This window comes from Homo sapiens, chromosome Y (genome assembly GCF_000001405.40).
Source record: "Homo sapiens chromosome Y, GRCh38.p14 Primary Assembly".
Classification (NCBI taxonomy): Eukaryota; Metazoa; Chordata; class Mammalia; order Primates; family Hominidae; genus Homo; species Homo sapiens.
The window spans coordinates 3,424,623-3,446,961 of record NC_000024.10 but is presented as its reverse complement, the minus strand read 5'-3'; the positions used below and the strand labels follow the sequence as shown (position 1 = coordinate 3,446,961).

Genomic DNA, 22,339 nt, shown 5'->3' with positions numbered 1-22,339 from the left:
CCATCTGGTCCTGGACTCTTTTTGGTTGGTAAACTATTGATTATTGCCACAATTTCAGAGCCTGTTATTGGTCTATTCAGAGATTCAACTTCTTCCTGGTTTAGTCTTGGGAGAGTGTATGTGTCGAGGAATGTATCCATTTCTTCTAGATTTTCTAGTTTATTTGCGTAGAGGTGTTTGTAGTATTCTCTGATGGTAGTTTGTATTTCTGTGGGATCGGTGGTGATATCCCCTTTATCATTTTTTATTGTGTCTATTTGATTCTTCTCTCTTTTTTTCTTTATTAGTCTTGCTAGCGGTCTATCAATTTTGTTGATCCTTTCAAAAAACCAGCTCCTGGATTCATTGATTTTTTGAAGGGTTTTTTGTGTCTCTATTTCCTTCAGTTCTGCTCTGATTTTAGTTATTTCTTGCCTTCTGCTAGCTTTTGAATGTGTTTGCTCTTGCTTTTCTAGTTCTTTTAATTGTGATGTTAGGTTGTCAATTTTGGATCTTTCCTGCTTTCTCTTGTAGGCATTTAGTGCTATAAATTTCCCTCTACACACTGCTTTGAATGCGTCCCAGAGATTCTGGTATGTGGTGTCTTTGTTCTCGTTGGTTTCAAAGAACATCTTTATTTCTGCCTTCATTTCGTTATGTACCCAGTAGTCATTCAGGAGCAGGTTGTTCAGTTTCCATGTAGTTGAGCGGCTTTGAGTGAGATTCTTAATCCTGAGTTCTAGTTTGATTGCACTGTGGTCTGAGAGATAGTTTGTTATAATTTCTGTTCTTTTACATTTGCTGAGGAGAGCTTTACTTCCCAGTATGTGGTCAATTTTGGAATAGGTGTGGTGTGGTGCTGAAAAAAATGTATATTCTGTTGATTTGGGGTGGAGAGTTCTGTAGATGTCTATTAGGTCTGCTTGGTGCAGAGCTGAGTTCAATTCCTGGGTATCCTTGTTGACTTTCTGTCTCGTTGATCTGTCTAATGTTGACAGTGGGGTGTTAAAGTCTCCCATTATTAATGTGTGGGAGTCTAAGTCTCCTTGTAGGTCACTCAGGACTTGCTTTATGAATCTGGGTGCTCCTGTATTGGGTGCATAAATATTTAGGATAGTTAGCTCCTCTTGTTGAACTGATCCCTTTACCATTATGTAATGGCCTTCTTTGTCTCTTTTGATCTTTGTTGGTTTAAAGTCTGTTTTATCAGAGACTAGGATTGCAACCCCTGCCTTTTTTTGTTTTCCATTGGCTTGGTAGATCTTCCTCCATCCTTTTATTTTGAGCCTATGTGTGTCTCTGCACGTGAGATGATGGGTTTCCTGAATACAGCACACTGATGGGTCTTGACTCTTTATCCACCTTGCCAGTCTGTGTCTTTTAATTGCAGAATTTAGTCCATTTATATTTAAAGTTAATATTGTTATGTGTGAATTTGATCCTGTCATTATGATGTTAGCTGGTGATTTTGCTCATTAGTTGATGCAGTTTCTTCCTAGTCTCGATGGTCTTTACATTTTGGCATGATTTTGCAGCGGCTGGTACCGGTTGTTCCTTTCCAGGTTTAGCGCTTCCTTCAGGAGCTCTTTTAGGGCAGGACTGGTGGTGACAAAATCTCTCAGCATTTGCTTGTCTATAAAGTATTTTATTTCTCCTTCACTTATGAAGCTTAGTTTGGCTGGATATGAAATTCTGGGTTGAAAATTCTTTTCTTTAAGAATGTTGAATATTGGCCCCCACTCTCTTCTGGCTTGTAGGGTTTCTGCCGAGAGATCCGCTGTTAGTCTGATGGGCTTTCCTTTGAGGGTAACCCGACCTTTCTCTCTGGCTGCCCTTAACATTTTTTCCTTCATTTCAACTTTGGTGAATCTGACAATTATGTGTCTTGGAGTTGCTCTTCTCGAGGAGTATCTTTGTGGCGTTCTCTGTATTTCCTGAATTTGAATGTTGGCCTGCCTTGCTAGATTGGGGAAGTTCTCCTGGATAATATCCTGCAGAGTGTTTTCCAACTTGGTTCCATTCTCCACATCACTTTCAGGTACACCAATCAGAGGTAGATTTGGTCTTTTCACATAGTCCCATATTTCTTGGAGGCTTTGCTCATTTCTTTTTATTCTTTTTTCTCTAAACTTCCCTTCTCGCTTCATTTCATTCATTTCATCTTCCATCGCTGATACCCTTTCTTCCAGTTGATCGCATCAGCTCCTGAGGCTTCTGCATTCTTCACGTAGTTCTCGAGCCTTGGTTTTCAGCTCCGTCAGCTCCTTTAAGCACTTCTCTGTATTGGTTATTCTAGTTATACATTCTTCTAAATTTTTTTCAAAGTTTTCAACTTCTTTGCCTTTGGTTTGAATGTCCTCCCGTAGCTCAGAGTAATTTGATCGTCTGAAGCCTTCTTCTCTCAGCTCGTCAAAATCATTCTCCATCCAGCTTTGTTCTGTTGCTGGTGAGGAACTGCGTTCCTTTGGAGGAGGAGAGGCGCTCTGCGTTTTAGAGTTTCCAGTTTTTCTGTTCTGTTTTTTCCCCATCTTTGTGGTTTTATCTACTTTTGGTCTTTGATGATGGTGATGTACAGATGGGTTTTCGGTGTAGATGTCCTTTCTGGTTGTTAGTTTTCCTTCTAACAGACAGGACCCTCAGCTGCAGGTCTGTTGGAATACCCTGCTGTGTGAGGTGTCAGTGTGCCCCTGCTGGGGGGTGCCTCCCAGTTAGGATGCTCGGGGGTCAGGGGTCAGGGACCCACTTGAGGAGGCAGTCTGCCCGTTCTCAGATCTCCAGCTGCGTGCTGGGAGAACCACTGCTCTCTTCGAAGCTGTCAGACAGGGACACTTAAGTCTGCAGAGGTTACTGCTGTCTTTTTGTTTGTCTGTGCCCTGCCCCCAGAGGTGGAGCCTACAGAGGTAGGCAGGCCTCCTTGAGCTGTGGTGGGCTCCACCCAGTTCGAGCTTCCCGGCTGCTTTGTTTACCTAAGCAAGCCTGGGCAATGGCGGGTGCCCCTCCCCCAGCCTCGTTGCCGCCTTGCAGTCTGATCTCAGACTGCTGTGCTAGCAATCAGTGCGATTCCATGGGCGTAGGACCCTCTGAGCCAGGTGTGGGATATAGTCTCGTGGTGCGCCGTTTCTTAAGCCGGTCTGAAAAGCGCAATATTCGGGTGGGAGTGACCCGATTTTCCAGGTGCGTCCGTCACCCCTTTCTTTGACTCGGAAAGGGAACTCCCTGACCCCTTGCGCTTCCCAGGTGAGGCAATGCTCGCCCTGCTTCGGCTCGCGCACGGTGCGCACACACACTGGCCTGCGCCCACTGTCTGGCACTCCCTAGTGAGATGAACCCGGTACCTCAGACGGAAATGCAGAAATCACCCGTCTTCTGCGTCGCTCACGCTGGGAGCTGTAGACCGGAGCTGTTCCTATTCGGCCATCTTGGCTCCTCCTCTCTTTATTATTTTAAACATTATTTCTAGCTCTCTTCCGAACAAATATGGTCATACTTGCTGACCTGTAATCTGAACTTGTAACCTAATGTCAAAATCTATTGTTTATAATAAAAGAACTGGCTTTATGTTATTTTGTTTCTGAGAATGCAGAATATATCTGGCTATATTGGCCAGCAGCAACTATAGGCAATCATTAGCGTTGCCTTTCAGCTACAGTTTTTAATAGTAATATAAGAGCAATGGGTGGTGTTGTGTCCTTGAAAAGTTTTTCTTTTTTAACTTTCCTTTTCAAATCTAGCTTTTTTTAAATCACACATATATCACTTCTCTAGTTGTTGCATAAGACTGATTACACAAACCTGATTTAAATTTTCAAATATTTGTTAAATGAATTAATGGCATTTTATCTTCATGTGCTTCAAATCTCTAAGTTGCTTTTCTGTTGCTGAACAGCAAAAGTTTGTTTAACCTTTTTTATCTTTAATATTATATTGGACTTCATTTTCAGGTGTATGAATTGACATTAGCATGAAAATGCAAGAAGAAATTATTCAATAATGTATGATGTTACAGGCGATGTTAGATTCTTTCTCAGAAAATTTTTAAATAGAATACTACTTTGATAGAGTACCAGATGACATTCATTTTTAATATGAGAATTGAGTATATATTAATAATTGCTTTGGCACATTTTTGCCCCATTTGTATTCCTGGGAATGACCTCACACAATTGTATTGTCTTTCAAGTAGAAGACTCATTTAAAAGAGGCCTAATTTTATGACACTGGGCAGCTTATTCACTCTGCACATTAGATGTGAGATAAGGACAGCTAGAAACTTTCACAGGTGAATGCCTTATTTACTAATGTGATACAAAAGTACATTTTGCTCTTCTTTTGTATTTCTATTTAAATGCATACATGAAAAACAACATGTTCAACTAACCTCAATAGGAAGACTGAAGGCAGCCATTATCTAAGTGGTACAAAGGCTATACCATCTGCTACAATTATTCCCAAATTTCAGTTGATTTGCATTTCCAGTTGTTTTTACTGGAAAGGGCCATCTGTTCACTTTAATTATATACTTTTCAAATTTTTTATGTTATGTATGTCTAGCCTCAGTAAACTACAATATAATGTAAAGAAGTTATTTCTGCAATTTTTTGAATCAATTAAATGACGTAAGAGTCTAAATAATGTGATAAACTGTAAAATGACATTATGCGTTTGTTCCCCACAAGCCATTATATTAAAATGACTTCAAGTATTAAATTTAGTCTAAATAATTTGTAATTTATTCTATTCTATCATAAATCATGCTGAGATATATTTTTCTGTCAATACATGAAACCATTAGCATTTCTTGCATAAAAATCAGAAAAATACTACAGATTAAAAAATGAAGAAATGTATTTGGCTAGAGCTGGGTTTTGTTTGTTTTATTATTTGCTTGTTTTGTTGAAGTTTTACTTTTTATCTAGTTCTATTTTAAATTGTCATTTAAAAATACCCTGGTGATAGCATTCTAACCCAATAATTGAGATAATGTTGAATTTCTATCATTTTAAAAGTCAACAGTGTCATATATAATGATGCATTGATATGGTTTGGTTGTGTGTCCCCACCCAAATCTCATCTCCAATTGTAATCCACATGTGTCGAGGGAGACACCTGGTGGGAGGTGATTGGATCATGGGGGCAGTTTCCTTCATGCTGTTATCATGATAGTGAGTGAGTTTTCATGAGATCTGATGGTTTTATAAATGGCAATTTTCCCTGCACTCTCTTGCTCTCCTGCCACTTTGGGAAGAAGGTACTTGCTTCTCGTTTACCTTCTGCCATTATTGTAAGTTTCCTGAGGCCACTACACCTATGTGGAACTGTGAATCAATTAAGCCCCTTTATTTTATAAATTACCTAGTCTCTAGTATTTCTCTGGTACTTAGAGTGGGGCACTGCTATAAAGATAACCTGAAAATGTGGAAGTGACTTTGAAACTGGGTAACAGGCAGAGGTTGGCACAGTTTGGAGGGCTCAGAAGAAGACAGGGAGAAGTGGGAAAGTTTGGAACTCGCTAGAGACTTGTTGGTTTTGACCCAAATGCTGATAGTGATAAGGACAATGAAGTCCAGTCTAATGTGGTCTCAGATGGAGATGAGAAACTTGTTGGGAACTGGAGCAAATGTCACTTTTGCTGTCCTTTAGCAGAGAGACTGAATGCATTTTGGCCCTGGCCTAGAGATATGTGGAACTTTGAACTTGAGAGAGATAATTTAGGGTATCTTCCAGAAGAAATTTCTAAGTAGCAAAGCTTTCAAGGGGTGACCTGGTTGATTCTGAAAATGTTCAGTTATATATGCTCATGAAGAGATGGTTTGAAATTGGAACTTATGTTTAAAGAGGAAGCAGAGTGTGAAAGTTTGGAAAATTTGCAGCCTGATCATGTGGTAGAAAAGAAAAACCCACTTTCTGGGGAGGAATTCAAGCCAGCTGCAGATATTTGTATAAGTAACAAGGAGCCAAATGTTAGCAGCCAAGACAATGGGAAAAATGTCTCCAGGACATGTCAGAGATCTTCATGGCAGCCCTTCTCATTACAGACCCAAAAGCCTAGGAGGGAAAAATGGTTTTCTGAGGCTGACCCAGGGCCCAGCTGCTCTGTGCAGCCTCAGGACTGCCCTGCGTCCGAACTGCTCCAGCTTTAGCTTTGGCTAAAAGGGGCCCACATGCAGCTCAGGCCATTGCTTCAGAGGGTGCAAGCCCCAAGCATTGGCAGTTTCTATGGGGTGTTGGGCCTGTGGGTATACAGAAGTAAAGAGTTGAGCTTTGGGAACCTCTGCCTAGATTTCAGAGGATGTATGGAAATGACTGGATGTCCAGGCAGAAGTCGGCTTCAGGGATAGAGCCATCAGGGAGAAACTCTGCTAGGGCAATGCAGAAAAGAAATGTGGGGTTGGAGTCCCCACACAGAATCCCCACTGGGGCACTGCCTAGTGGATCTGTGAGAAGAGGGCCACTGTCCTCCAGACCCCAGAAATATAGATCCACTGATAGCTTGCACTGTGCCCTAGAAAAACCACAGGTACTCAATACCAGCCTATGAAACCAGCTGCAAGTGCTGAACCCTGCAGAGCCACAGAAGCAGAGCTGCCCAAGGCCTTGGGAGCCCACCCCTTGCATCAGCCTGCCCTGGATATAAGACATGGAGTCAAAGTAGATTTTGGAGCTTTAAAATTTATGACTGCCTGGGCAGGTTTTGGACTTGCACGGGGCCTGTAGCCCCTTTGCTTTGTTTTGGCTAATTTCTCCCATTTGAACTGCTAACATTTACCCAATGACTGTACCCTCATTGTATCTTGGAAGTAACTAACTTGCTTTTGATTTTACAGGTGTATAGGTTGAAGAGATTTGCCTTGTCTAAGATGAGACTTTGGACTTGGACTTTTGAGTTAATGCTGGAATGAATTAAGACTTTGGGGGACTATTGGAAAGGCATAATTGGTTTTGAAATATAAAAAGAACATGAGATGAGGGAGGGGCCACGGGCACAATTATATGGTTTGGCTCTGTGTCCCCACCCAAATCTCATGTCAAATTGTAATCCCCACCTGTCAAGGAGGGGACCTGGTAGGAGGTTATTGGATCATGGGAGCAGTTTCCCCCATGCTGTTTTCATGACAGTGAGTGAGTTCTCATGAGACCTGATGGTTTTATAAATGGCAGGTTCCCCTGCACACTGTGCTCTCTCCTGCCGCCTTGGGAAGAAGGTACTTGCTTCTACTTTGCCTTCTGTCATGATGGTAAGTTTCCTGAGGCCTCCCCTGCAATGCAGAACTGAGTCAGTTAAACCTCTTTCCTTTATAAATTACCCAGTCTTGGGTATTTCTTTATAGAAGCATGAGAATAGACTAATGCATGCATTAAAATAGCTTTTTGAGGTATATGAAGATATAAATGTTAAGACTACAGAAAAAAAATATGCGTATCTAAGGGCTAATCACTATTAGCCATCCTGTTTCAATTATTTGTAAATTCAAGGTTGGGAAAATTTAAATGTATTTATTTTCCAAGAAGCATTTCTAGCTATCTGGCTTATTTGCTGCTACCAATAATTAGGGAAAATGTACATTTTGGGACTAATTGATAAATAAATTAAAGTCATAGCTGAAAATTGTATTGCATTCATTAAAGTGTCTCAATTAGATTGAAACATGTTCTGGTAACCTGTGAGTAGCAATTCTCACTGTCCATTTATTTTTCAGTTCAGACAAACCTACAATTCATTGATATGATAATAAAATGCTTTATTTGGAGTACATAGTTTTTATTGAGTTTAGAATATGGGATAATCCATTCACCATTTTATCTATAATCTTCCTGAAAAACATCACCATCAATAATTAAAACTAATGTTTATAACATAGTATCAAGATTACCAGCATCATTCATCATGATTATGATCCACAGACATTTTAAATTATTAGGCCTAATAGTTTCTCTTTATATAATTCACACTATTTGTACTACCAATTGTTTTTATAACTTTTATTTTTGCCTAAAAGCTTATTTTGGATATATTTCCATTTCAGAATAAAACAAAACCTAAAATTATGCACTTTTAAAAATAGGTGCACTGTATCTTACCATATGCATTTGCCAAAATTGATTAATAATCTTCCCATTATGAGATACTTAGCCTTTTTCCTGCCTTTCAGCAACATAAGCAATGATGATCAAATATTATTGCATTCTCATATGATACATATATGTCTGAGTGCATCCTTAGGACACATTCCACACATGAACTAAAATATATAATTTTAATTTATTTTCTATTCAACAAATAATATTGTATATATTTATGGTGTCTGGTGTGATATTTTGACATACATACATTGTGAAATATTAAATCGAGCTAATTAATGTAACTATACACTGTCATATTCATTGTGTTTTATACTGGGAACATTTAAAATCTAGCCTTTTAGCGATTTTCAAGTACACAATACATTATTATTAACTATAGTCACCAGGCTGTACTATAGAACTTCAGAAGTTATTCCTCCTCTCTTGCTGAAACTTTGTACCCTTTGCCATCATCTCCCGACCCCATCCCCAGTCCCTGGTAACCACTAAGCTGCTTCTGTGAGTTCAATATTTTTGAATTCCACATATCAGTGGGATCATACAGTATCTGTCTTTCTGTGCCTGGCTTATTGTACTTGACATAATGTCCTCCACATTTATTCATATTGTTGCAAATGAAAGATTTTTTTCATTTTTAAGGCTGAATAGTATTTCATTGTGCGTTTGTATATATATGTGTATATATATAGGTGTGTGTGTATATGTATATATATATATATATATACATATACACACACAGACACACATGTATATATCACATTTTCCTTATCAATTTATCTTTGACGGATAGTTTGATTTCATAGTTTGGCTATTATAAATAATAGTGCAATAAAAACTGGAATGCAGATATATTTTCAACATGTGACTTCATTTTCTTTGGATATATACACAAAAGTGGAATTGCTGCATTATACATTAGTTCTATTTTAAATTTTTTGAGAAACCTTCACACTATTTTCCAACACAAATACACCATTTTACATTCCCAACAACAGTATATAGGAAATATATTTTCTCTACTTCCTTGCCAATACTTGTTAAGTTTTGTATCTCTGAATAGCCATTCAACGAAGTGCGATGTGATGTCTCATCATGGTTTTACTTTGTATTTCCCTGAGATTCTATTCAACATCTCATATATCTGCTCACCATATGCCCGTCATCTTTGGAGAAATGTATATTCACACATTTAATCCATTTTTTATCAGGTATTTTTTCTTGCTATTAAGGGACCTTATTTATTTTAAATATTAACTCCTTATCTAAAGGATAAGGTTTGGTTTGTAAATATTTTCTCCCATTTCATAGGCTGTTTTTTCACCTCACTCAGTTGAGTTTTAACCAGGCTTTGCAGAAGTGTTTAGTTTGATGCAATCCCATTTTTCTGCATTTGCTTTTGTTGCTTGTACTTTTAAGTTCATATCCAAAATATCATTGCCAAGACCAAAGTGAAGAAGTTTTTTCCTATGTTTTCTTTTGCATGTCGAGCATCCCTAATCTAAAAATCTAAAACCAAAAATTTTCCAAAATCTAAAATTGGGCACTGGCATGATGCTACAAGTGGAAAATTTCACACTTGACCTTATGTGACAGATTGCAGTAAAAATTCAGATGCATAACACATAGGTCATTTAGCATCTTTGAGGGAAAAGACTTTTCCAGCCCACTTCAGCTGCAACATATCTTTTTCAAGCATTCCCACCAATGATCATAAAATTGCATGTGTACAGGCCAGATGTGCTAACAGCCGGTTCCCCACTATGCTTCAGATGGGACCAAACCTACATGTGTTACTTACTATGTCTGTTGCTTATTATTTGCTCTGTGATGTAATGATATTGTTGAATATGTAAAAGGCCTGCAGATTTCTCTATGAGTAACAGTGATAAGGAAAAAAATATTTATGTTCACTTATAGCACAGAAAGTCAAACTGTTGAAGAATCTGGACAGTGGTGTAAGTATGAAAAGTCTTACAGAATTACATGGTATTGGAAAGACTAACATATATAAGTGATTTTGTCCTTGTGCAAACCTCATAGAATATACTCACACAAACCTACTATATACCTAGGATATACAGCATAGCTCATTTTCTCTAGGCTACAAACCTGTACAGCATGTGACAGTACTGAATACTGTAGGTAACTGGAACACAATGGTATTTGTCTAGCTAAACATATCTAAACATGGAAACAGTACACTATATTATGGTATAAAAGTGTATAAAAATGGTACACCTTTGTAGGGCACTTACCCTGAATGGAACTCGCAGAAAGTTGCTCTGGCTTAGTCAGAGAATGAGTGGTGAGTGAATGTGAAGGCCTAGCACATCACTATATACTATGGTAGATATTATAGACATTGTACTCTTAGGCTACACTACATTTGTTTTAAAAACTAAAGCAATTTCACTATAACGTTATGATGGCTATGACATCACAAGGTGATAGAAAATTTTTAGCTCCATTATACATAATATTTTGGTACCACTGTTGCATATGTGGTCCATAATTGACCAATATGTTGTTATACAGTGCAAAACTATATCATAAAATAAAAAAGAAAATGGAAAAGGAAAAGCAAGTTAAAAAGTAAACAGAACATAGGAAATAATACACATCAGAGAGGATATCAGTAAAATAGCAGGGAGGAAAACAAAGAAAAACAAAGACACAAATTACCAATTTGAATAATGATAAATGACAGTAATTTCTTTATATATTCTACAGATAAAATGAAAAAGATAATAGAAAGTTTATACCTAAAATTTAGCAAATAACATTAAAGAGCCAACTTCCTTGAAAGACACAAATTGTTTGAGCTCATACAAAAAAATGAATAAAATGAATAGATGTATGTACATTAAGTAAATGTGATAGAATAAGGATCTCCCTAAAACAAATTTTCAGCCCTAAGTGCTTTAAATGAGGAATTCTACCAAAATTTAATAATAAATTATACCGAACACATGTTCACATGTGTTTATCACAGCACTATTCACAATAGCAAAGACATGGAATCAACCTAAATGTTCATCAGTGATCGAATGGATAAAGAAAATGTGATACATATACACCAATGAATACTATGCAACCATTAGCAAGAGTAAGATCATTTCTTTTGCAGGAACATGGATGGAGCTGGACACCATTATTCTTAACAAACTAACACAGGAACAGAAAATCGAATACTGCATGTTCTCACTTGTAAGTGGAATCTAATCAACGAGTATGTATGGACACAAGGAAGGTAACTTTTTATCTCCTTTTAGATTTTTTGGACATCGGGGTCTACTTGAGGGTGAAGAGTAGGAGGAAGTTGAGGATCAAAAAACTACCCATTGGGTAGTATGCTTATTGCCTGGGTGATAAAACAATCTGCATAACAACCCCCCATGACACAGGTTTACCTATGTAACACTCCTGCACTTGTACCCCTGAAGTTAAAATAAAAGTAAAATTTAAAAAAAAAATTGAAAAGAAGGGGACACTTCCCCACTCATTCTATTAACCAGCATTATGACAACACCAAAACCAGATAGATGATAGATAGATAGATAGACAGATAGAGATCTAACACAGAAAACTACAGACCAATATTTCTCATAAATATATTAAATGATTCTAAAATAAATTTTAGAAAATTGACTGTAACACAATGTTAAATAATAATATGATGATAATACATCATGGTCAAGAATGATTTCACGGCCGGGCGCAGTGCCTCACGCCTGTAATCCCAGCACTTTGGGAGGCCGAGGCGGGCGTATCACAAGGTCAGGACATTGAGACCATCCTGGCTAACACGGTGAAACTCTGTCTCTACTAAAAATGCAAAAAATTAGCTGGGCGTGGTGGCGGGAGCCTATGGTCCCAGCTACTCGGGAGGTTGAGGCAGGAGAATGGAGTGAATCTGGGAGGCGGAGCTTGCAGTGAGCTGAGATCACACCACTGCACTCCAGCCTGGGCAACAGAGTGAGACTCTGTCTCAAATAAATAAATAAATAAATAAATAAATAAATAAATAAATAAATAAAAGAATGATTTCACAAAAAATACAAGATTTGCTTAACATTCAAAAATCTTTCAAAATTTTTTACCATATAAATAAACCAAACAGAAACATCACATAATACATTGAATATACACACACACACAAATTGAAGAATAATCCAGCATCTATTCTTGTTAAAGCACCTCAAAACCTGAAAGGAGATGAAAAGTTTCTTAATCTTAAAATAGATGCATTCAAAAAGGTATAGCTGACATCATAATTAATAGTAAAAATTGAATGCTTCCTCCCTCTTCTAGGACCAGGAACAAGGTAAAGATATTTTACCTTACCTCTTTTATTCAACGTTGCACTGGTGGAAATAACTAGTATAATAGGAAGACAAATGTATAAAATACGTCCAATTTTGAAAGGTAGAAGTAAAAGCTATCTGTATTTCCATATCAAATCCCTATACTCCAGGGGAAAGGAGTTTACCAAAGCCTTATAACAAACACACGGGTTAAGGACACTTACTCAACTCCAGTCTTTTTAGCCTTCCTGTCTCATCTAAGTGTGGGAATAGCTAAGAAAAAAACGTGTAAAGAACATATCAAGGGGAAACAACCACTACAAGCTGGAGAATTAATCATAACATTATAAAATGCATTACTTCCCTTTACTGGTACATCAATAAATCCTTAGTATATCAACAGGAGATTTTAGCTGAGAAAGCAGTACTGTGCAGACTATATTTAATAAGTAGTTTCTAGGTAAATGTAAAGACAATAGGAATAAAAAAAACTCACTAGAGAAAATTGGAACATCTGGCATCTACAGGTACAGCCAACATTACACCCAACTCAACTCTTAGATAAATTAACAAAAAAAAACCCAACATAAAAATTTCTCATTTTCTATTGACTGATATATTATGACCAACTTTCTTTTTTTTAAAATGGATACTACAGTTTGTTTCACTTTTTACCTATTTTTGAATTTTGTAGTTTTAGGTTGCTTCTAATTTTTCTTTTAAAATTAACACTGACAAAAAAATTCTAAAAATAAAGCTTTTATCTCTAGCTCCGTTTATTTCTAAAGGTTAATTCTTAGAAGTAGGATTATTGTGCTAATTACTATTGATAAATGGTTAACAATAGGTAAAGTCATTTTTTTTAAATGGAGTCTCGCTCTGTTGTCCAGACTGGAGTGCAATGGCACGACCTTGGTTCACTGCATCTATCTTAAGATGAGTCCTTAAAAGGAGAAAATTTTTCCCACTCTAATTACAGAGATGTAGAAGAGGAAATCAGAATGATTCAAATCATGAGAAGTTTTTGGCATCCATTGTTACCTTGAAAATAAAGGGAGTCATTTGCCAGGAAGAAAATAATAGAAAAGAAAGAAGGAAAGGAGAGGAGAGGAGAGGAGAGGAGAATGGCTTTACTCCTACAGTCACAAGAAGCAAATTTCTATTACAAATTTGAATGAAGCTGGAAGTGTTTCTTTTCTTTTTTTTTTTTGCTCCCTGAGTCTCAAGAAAAGAGCTGCAGCCTTGTGAGATCCCAAGCAAAAAACACAGTTGAGTCACACTATATCCAAATATACATACCTGTATGTATGCATTTATTTATGCAAACATGCACTATTTATATTATTTCTGTGTGTGTGTGTGTGTGTGTGTGTGTGTGTATATATATATATATAAACTCAGGAGGAACCAATAGTAGGTAACTCCAATTCCACTCAGCAGAACCAATTCTACAATTTGTTTCTTTATGTGTTGATAGAGAAGCCCCTTGTACAACAATGTAAAACCTGGCTACAATTAACCAAATATATTTACTTATTTAGTTAGTCCTATAATTTACAAAAAGAAAGTTATTTTCAGAAATGCTAACACAAGTTTTAGAAAATAAATCTAGTAATTAGAGTTTAATATTTTCTTTTTTTTTTTTGCTACATAGTATCTGTATATATTTATGGTGTAAATGCAATGTTTTGATACGGGCATGCAATGTCAAATAATCACATCATGGAGAATGGAGTATCCATCTCCTCAAGCATTTGTCATTCGAGTTAAAAACAATCAAATTACACTAATTAAGTTATTTTAAAACATACAATTAAGTTATTATTGACTATGGTCACCCTATTGTGCTATCAAATAATAGGGCTTATTCATTCTTTGTAACTTTTTTTTGTACCCGTTAACCATCCCCACCTCCCCCAACAACCCCCACTACCCTTCTCAGCCTCTTGTAACCATACTTCTACTCTCTATCTCCATGAATTCAAATGTTTTGATTTTTAGATCCTCAAATAAGTGAGAACATGTGATGTCTTTCTGTGTCTGGCTTATTTTACATAGCACAATGATCTCCAGTTCCATCCATGTTGTTGCAAATGCCTGGATCTCATTCCTTTTATGGCTGAAGAGTACTCCATAGTGCCTAAGTACAACATTTTCTTTATCCATTCTTCTGTTGGTGGACAATTAGGTTGCTTCCAAAACTTAGCTAATGTAAACAGTGCTGCAACAAACACAGAAATACAGATATCTCTTTGATATACTGATTTTCTTTCTTTTGTGTATATACCCAGCAGAGGAGTTGCTGAATTTTTAGTTTTTTTGAGGGACCTCCAAACTGTTCTCCACAGTGGTTGTACTAGATTAAACTCCAACCAACAGCGTGGGAGGGTTTCTTCTCCACATCCTCGCCAACATTTGTTATTGCCTGTCTTTTAAATATAAGCCATTTTAATTGGAGTGAGATAATATCCCATAGTAGTTTTGACTTGTATTTCTAGAATGATCAATGATGCTGAGTACCTTTTTATATGCCTGTTTTGCAAATGTTATGTTTTCTTTTGAGAAATGTATCTTCAAATCTTTTGCCAATTTTTGATCAGATTATTAGACTTTTTCTTATAGAGTTGTTTCAGCTTCCTATATATTTCAGTTTTTAATCTCATGACAGATGGGTAGTTTGCAAATATTTTCTCCCATTCTGTGAGTTGTCTCTTCACTTGTTTATTGGAACCTTTGCTGTGCAGAAGCTTAAGTTGATGTGATCTCATTTGCTGTTTCTGCTTTGGTTGCCTGTGCTTGTGAGGTATTGCTCAATAAGTATTTGCCCAGAAAAAACGTCCAGGAGATTTTTCCCAATGTTTTCTTGTAGTAGGTTTTATAGTTTGAGGTTTTTGATTTAAGTCTTTCATCCACTTTTATTTGATTTTTGTATAAATGGGGGTCTGGTTTCATTCTTCTGCATGTGATTATCCACTTTTCCCAAAACCGTTTATTGAGGAAACTGTCCTTTCCCCAGTGTATGTTCTTGAAAATTTTTTCTAAAATGAGTTTACTGTAGGTGTGTGTATTTGTTTCTGGTTCTCGATTCTGTTCCATTAGACTCTGTGTCTGTTTTTATGCCAGTTTCAGGCTGTTTTGGTTACTATAGCTCTGTAGTATAATTTGAAGTCAGGTAATGTGATTCCTCTGATTTTGTTCTTTTTGCTTAGGATAGCTGTGGATATTTTGGGTCATCTGTAGTTCCATATAAATTTTAAGATTTTTTTTTGTGAAGAATGTCATTGGTATTTTCATACAGATTGCAATGAACCTGTAGATTTTGGGGGGTTGTATGGACATGTTAACAGTATGGATTATTTCAATCCATGAACATGTAATATTTTTCTATTGTTTGGTGTCTTCTTTAATTTCTTTCATCAATATTTTATAGTTTTTGTTATAGAGATTTTTCACTTCTTTGTTTAATTTCTAGGTATTTAATTTTATGTGTGGCTATTGTAAATAGTGTATGGGGATTACTTTTTTACATTGTTCATTATTGGAATAAAGAAATTCTACTTATTTTTTATGTTGATTTTGTGTCCTTGAACTTTACTAAATTTGTTTATCAGTTCTAATAGTTTTCCTGTGGAGTCTTTAGGTTTTTTTTTTTCAAGTATAGGATTATATCATCTTAAAACAAGGATAATTGAATTTCTTCATTTCTAATTTGTGTGTCCTTTATATCTTTCTCTTGTCTACTTGCTCTAGCTAAAACTTCCAATATTATCTTGAGTAACTGTGGTGACAGTGGGCTTCCTTGTCGTGTCCCACATCTTAAAGGAAGGGCTTTATGTATTTCTCCATTCAGTATGATACTACCTGTGGGTCTGTCATATATTTTATTGTGTTGAGGTATGTTCTTTCCATCCTGTTTTAAGAAGGTTTTTATCATGAAGATATGTTGAATTCTGTGAAATGCCTTTTCAACATCAGTTGAAATTATCATATGAATTTTATCCTTTATTCTGCTGATATGATGTATCATATTGATTGATTTGCATATGCTGAACCATCCTGGCATCCCAGTGATAAATTTCACTTGGTCATGATAAATAATATTTCTAATGCATTGTTGAATTCAGTTTGCTAGTATTTTGCTGAGAATGTCTGCATTAATATTCATCATATATATTGGGCTGTAGTTTCCTCTTTTTGATGTGTCTTTGACAAGTTTTGGTATCAGGGTAATACTGACCTTGTAGAATGGGTTTGAAAGTATTCCCTCCTTTTCTATTTTTCAGAAGAGTTTCAGTAGGATTGGTATTGTTTAAGTGTTTGGTATAATCCAGCAGTAAAGCCATCAGGTCCTGAGTATTTATTTACGGAAGAATTTTTATTATGACTTTAATCTGATTACTTGATATTGGTCTGTTCAGGTTTTAGGTTTTTTCCCAGTTCAATTTTTTTAGGTTGTATGTATCTAGGAATTTATGTATTTTCTTCTAGATTATCCACTTTATTGGCATATAGTTGCTCTTAGTAGCCAGTTATGATCCTTTGAATTTCTGTTGTATTAGTTGCAATGTCTCTGTTTTCATTTCTGATGTTATATGGATCTTCTCACTTTTTTCTTAGCCTGGCTAAAGATTTGTCAGTTTTGTTTAACTTTTTTTAAAAAACAACTTTTTCTTTCATTAGTCTTTTGTATTGTTTTCTTCATTATAATTTTATTTATTTTTGCTTTGATCTTTATTATTTTCTTTTACTAATTTTAAGTATGACTTGCTCTTGCTTTTCTAGTTCTTTAAGATGTATTGTTAGATTGTTTATTTGAAGTTTTTTCTTTGTTTTGATGTAAGCACTTATAGCTATAAACTTCCCTCTGAGTACTGCTTTTGCTGTGTCCCATAAAAGTTGGTATGTTGTGTTTTTATTATCATTTGTTTTAAAACATTTCAAATTTTCTTCTTAATTTCTTCATTGTCCCACTGGTCATTCAGGAGAATATTGTTTAATTTCCAGGTAATTGTATAGTTTTAAACGTCCATCCTGTTATTAATTTCTAGCTTTTTTCTATTGTGGTTAGGGAAGATATTTGATATTATTTCAATTTTTTAACATTTTAAGACTTGTTTTTTGACCTAACATATGGTCTATTCTTGAGAATGATCCATGTGCTGAGAAAAAGAATGTGTATTCTGAAGCTCTTCAATAAAATACTCTGTAAATATCTGTTAAATCCATTTGGTCTATAGTGCAGATTAAGTCTTTGTTAATGTTTGTTTCTTTGTGTATTCTCTGTCTGGCAGATCTGTCCAATCCTAAAAGTGGGTTGTTGAAGTCTCCAACTATTATTGTATTCCGGCCTATTTCTCTCTTTAGCTCTAATAATATTTCCTTTGATAGCTGGGTGCTATAATGTTGGGTGCATATATATTTAAAATTGTTATATTCTCTTGCTGAATTGACCCCTATACTATAAACTGTATAAATTGTACAGTTAGCTGCTTTGTCCCTTCTTATAGTTTTTGTCTTGAAAACTATTTTGTCTGATATAAGTATAGCGACTATTGCTTTTTTCAGTTTTCCATTGGCATATAATGTTTTTCCCATCCCTTTACTTTCAGTCTATGTGTGTCTTTATAGGTGAAGTATTTTTCTTGTATGCAACAGATTAGTGGGTTTTGTTTTTTCATCCATTCAGCCAGTCTAGGTCTTTTGATTGGAGAGTTTAGTCCGAATGAGAGAGAGAGAGAGAGAGAGAGAGTTTGTTATTAGGAATTATCTCATGTTGCTACTAATTGGATAAATCCCAAGGTCTGCAGTCAGCAAGCTACGTACCAAGGGAAGCTGATGGTATAGCTTCAGTCTGAGTCTGAAGTCCTGAGAACCAAGAAAACAAGTAACATAAGTTCCACTTCAAGTCTGAGTATGAAGGCAGGAGAAGAAAATCTCAGATGAAAGACAGGCAGAGAAACTAATTTCTCTCTTAATCATTTTGATCCATTCAAGCCTTCAACAGATTGGATGCAACCTGCCTACACTGGGAAAGGCAACCCGTTTTACTCAGTCTACCATTCTAATGCTGATCTCATCCAGAAACACCCTCACTGACACATGCAGAATAATGTTGAATCTAATATCTGCCACCTTGTGGTCAAGTTGACACATAAGATTGATCATCACAAGTCCACTGGGGGACGGTTGGAAGGGCATGATTTTGTTTTGAAAAGTGAAGACACAAGATTTGGGAGGGGCCAGGGATGGAATTATATCATTTGGCTCTGTGTCCCCACACAAATTTCACCGTGAATTGTTATAATCCCCACATGTCAAGAGCAGGACCAGATGGAGATAATTGAATCATGGGGGCGGCTTCCCTCATGCTGTTCTCGTGATAGTGAGTTCTCATCATATCTGATGGTTTTATAAGGAGCTTTCCCCTTAGCTCAGCACTGATTCTCTCTCCTGCCACCTTGTAAAGAGGTACCTTCTGCCATGATTGTAAGTTTCCTGAGGCCCCCCAGCCATGTGAAACTATGAGTCAATTAAACCTCTTTTCTTGATAAACTACCCAGTCTTCGGTACATCTTTATTAGCAGTATGAGAATGGACTAATACAAGGCCTTAACAGAATCACCCTTAGTACTTCATTTATAGCAATACAAACTTTTCTAAGTCTTCACTTCAATACTGTTACAGACTCTGTCCGTTACTTTATTCCCAACCTGCTTCCACATGTTTTTTTTTTAAAAAAATTGTAGGTACATAGTAGGTATATATATTTATGTATATATTTATGGGGTGCATAAGATAGTTTGATACAGGCATACAATGCATAATAATCACATCAGCATAAATGAGGTATTTGTTTTAGGAATGTCCTACTCCTATAGTACCAATTTCTTTCTCAGTAAATTTTGTGCTGTTACAATATTATACCTGAGACTAGGTAATTCATGAAGATCAGAAACTTTTTCTCATGGTTCTGAATGCTGGGAAGTTCAAAATCAAGGCACCAGCATTTGGTCTGTTGAGGGGCTTCTTGCTGTGACTTCACATAGTAAAAGGCAGAAGAGCACACTAGCCGAATGCTTTGTGAAGCCTCTTTTACAAGGACCTTAATGTCGTTAATGAGAAAAAGAGCAGCCTTCGTGGCCTAGTGATCTCTTAAAGGTCTCACTACTTAATAATTGCCCAAACCTGATTTTTAGAGGGGACACATTCAAACCATAGCATTCTGGTAAGTCTTTAGGATCCTTTCAAAAATGCCGGTGGGGAGATAAACAGTATAAATTTTTGACAGTGTACGCGAGTCCTTCCTGGAGAAGTCACAGTCTCCCTTTTATTCAAGGGTTCTGAGTCTGTGAATTGGATCAAGTCTGGGGATTAATTAAAGGGGTTGACTCTGTTTTTTTCTTAATTCAAGTTAGACTTTTTCTCACTTGAGTAGTATTTTCTGCTTATGCAGATTAAATAAGAATGTAGCAGACTTCCTGTCTATTTCACTTCTGGCAACACCATGATCAACTAGCCAACACCATAGGTCTATGAGTCAGATTCTTTTGATTACTGCTTTGACTCTGCTATCCATTATGAGAAACATAACCCCACTGCCTTTAGTAGCTGAGTGCTGTCATGTGATCCCTGCCACCCAGAGATCTAATTACTGCCATTGCATTTAGTTTTCCCAATTCGGGGACTGCAGTCCCCACGATAAGGTCTGGCCTACAGAGAAAAGTGAACACAGAGCTGCTCAAAAATTCCAAGCCTACTCTCACAAATCTATTTCTTACAGTAGTGGTGAGAGATGTGTCTACTGGAAACTCTCGGTCATGTTAACTAAGTCTTAATTTTATGAATAAAGGCCTACTCTGCAATATGCCTAAGCTTTTCAACCACTTTATCTATATTTAACTTAGGCAGGTTGGGAATTTCCAGTTCACTCACTGTAGGCTATCTTTTGGTTCATGCTTCAGTCAACCAACCAAATAAACTGTGAAAGTACTTTATAACTCTCTGATTCACAGCATTAAATGTGGAATCTCTACTTAATGAGCCCATATCAATAAATTTAGTCTGTTCAAACTTTATATTTCTTCCTCCATTATCCCACACCTTTAATATCCATTTCCACACATATTCCTTGTATTTATGTCTATATAAATTGGAAAATTCAAGTAAGTTTTCTGAAATGTAGTGTACTTCCTCCAAGGTCACACTTTGTGTCTCACTTTTTGGGGCCTGCCGGGACTGGAGTCTGGTTATAAATCTAGAAGCAGGTAAGGGTGGTGGAATGAGTTCTGAGAAGAATCAACATTGTGTTACACGGCACTGATTACAGAGAGTCCATTATAATTTCCTCAGGCAATGCAGGATTAAATCCCTTAGAAAGGGGTGTAAAGGCCACTACCACTTGGGGTGAGGAAGCCACTACTACTGAGGCTGAGGTGGCTGCTTCCAATGGTGTCAGAAAGTCTCTTCCACTGGCAAAGAAGACTCATCAAAATTGAGGGCCTCATCTCCCCAGCTTTATCAGGGTCTTTTCACACTCCACCATTCTAACATTCAATGTCCCATTCTTTCCTAATCTAAGCCCTCACTTTACTTTAACAGTAGACATGCTGTGAGGCTTTGAGTTCAACCTGTATTGTAATTCACACACTCAAAGGATGAGGTTTTGTATTTGATTTTCAGCAGCCTCAGTCAAGCAGTGACAGGCAATAAGGATCCTCTTCAGAGCACATATAAAAACATACATGATATTTGTCTCAGTAATATAGGTAGCTTCCCCTTTTTGGTCTGTTTTGTAGGGTTTTCATATAAGTGTTTAGGCTGAAATAAAATATTTTCTAAAGTAATCTGTTGCAATTGTATTTCTTATGTATTTAAAGCCATCATTGACTTCCATCTCACTTATTCATTGTAATTTTTCTGAAATTTTCAATGCATCCCATATATTAATATTGAGATATTCTTACTTAAAGTCTAAAAGCAGCTCAAAAATATGCTTTTCAAATGAATCTATTCTATGGCTTCATAAAATTTGAGAGTCACAGAATTAATATAGACAGATCTTCCCAATATTTTCTTTTCCTTTTTTAATTTTAGTTTTTTTTAGGCAATTGTATAAGTGATTTTTTCTGAATAATTTTGAAAGGAAATTGAAACCACTAAATGTATGACTGTCACTACTTCCAGATAGTACTCAGATTGTTTTTGAGAAATACATTGTTTATTTTATTCTATCAATGACTAATAGTAAAACACCCAAAATCATTTCAATTAATTTGTAATGAATGTTTATCTAAAGTGTTGTAGTCCATATGTGTAAAATATTTATATTAGTGATAGACTAACATTTCTGAACAGCAATGAGCAACTTGAAATACTTCCTTCTTAATGAAACTAAGTATTATATTAAAAACTGACTAAATTGAACAGTTAAGCTGTGCATTGTGTACATATGCATACAAACACATTGAGGTAGACCAATTACAAGCAATCACCAAATTGTCAAAAGTTTATATTTTAAACCAAAATGCCTTCAGCTTTTCTTGACCCATATAGATTAATCAATAACTAAAAACCACATATTCAAATTTTAAGCATAAAAATTTTTTTACATCTACGATTCAAGAAATAGAAGGTAAGAAAAAGTACATCTATATTTCAGAATCATAATATGAGATTATTCAATAATTTCAACACTCAAACAAATGCTGTCCAATGGAAATATGACAGTTTTAGATTTTCTAGTAGTTACATTTAACTATGTAAAGGAGAAAAGTAAAAATTGTATTAATATGTTTTTGTTAACCCAATATGTTTATGATATTATCATTTAGTAAGTAATAATTATGAAAATATTAGTAAGAAATTTTAAGTTTTTACATCCTAAATTGTTAAAATCTGGTATTTTACAATTACAGCACATCCTTATTTGGATTACCAACCTTGCAAGTTCTCAATAGCCACATGTAGCTAGTGAC

At 36.1% G+C, this 22,339-nt stretch overlaps 1 annotated feature.

Annotated features, from left to right (window-relative positions):
- Positions 20,695 to 21,232: an enhancer, noted in NCBI's record as "OCT4-NANOG hESC enhancer chrY:3293771-3294308 (GRCh37/hg19 assembly coordinates)". NCBI's record gives its function as "activates a minimal SCP1, AML or CMV promoter by ChIP-STARR-seq in naive and primed H9 embryonic stem cells {active_cell/tissue: H9 hESC(naive and primed)}" and the evidence as "EXISTENCE:reporter gene assay evidence [ECO:0000049][PMID:30033119]".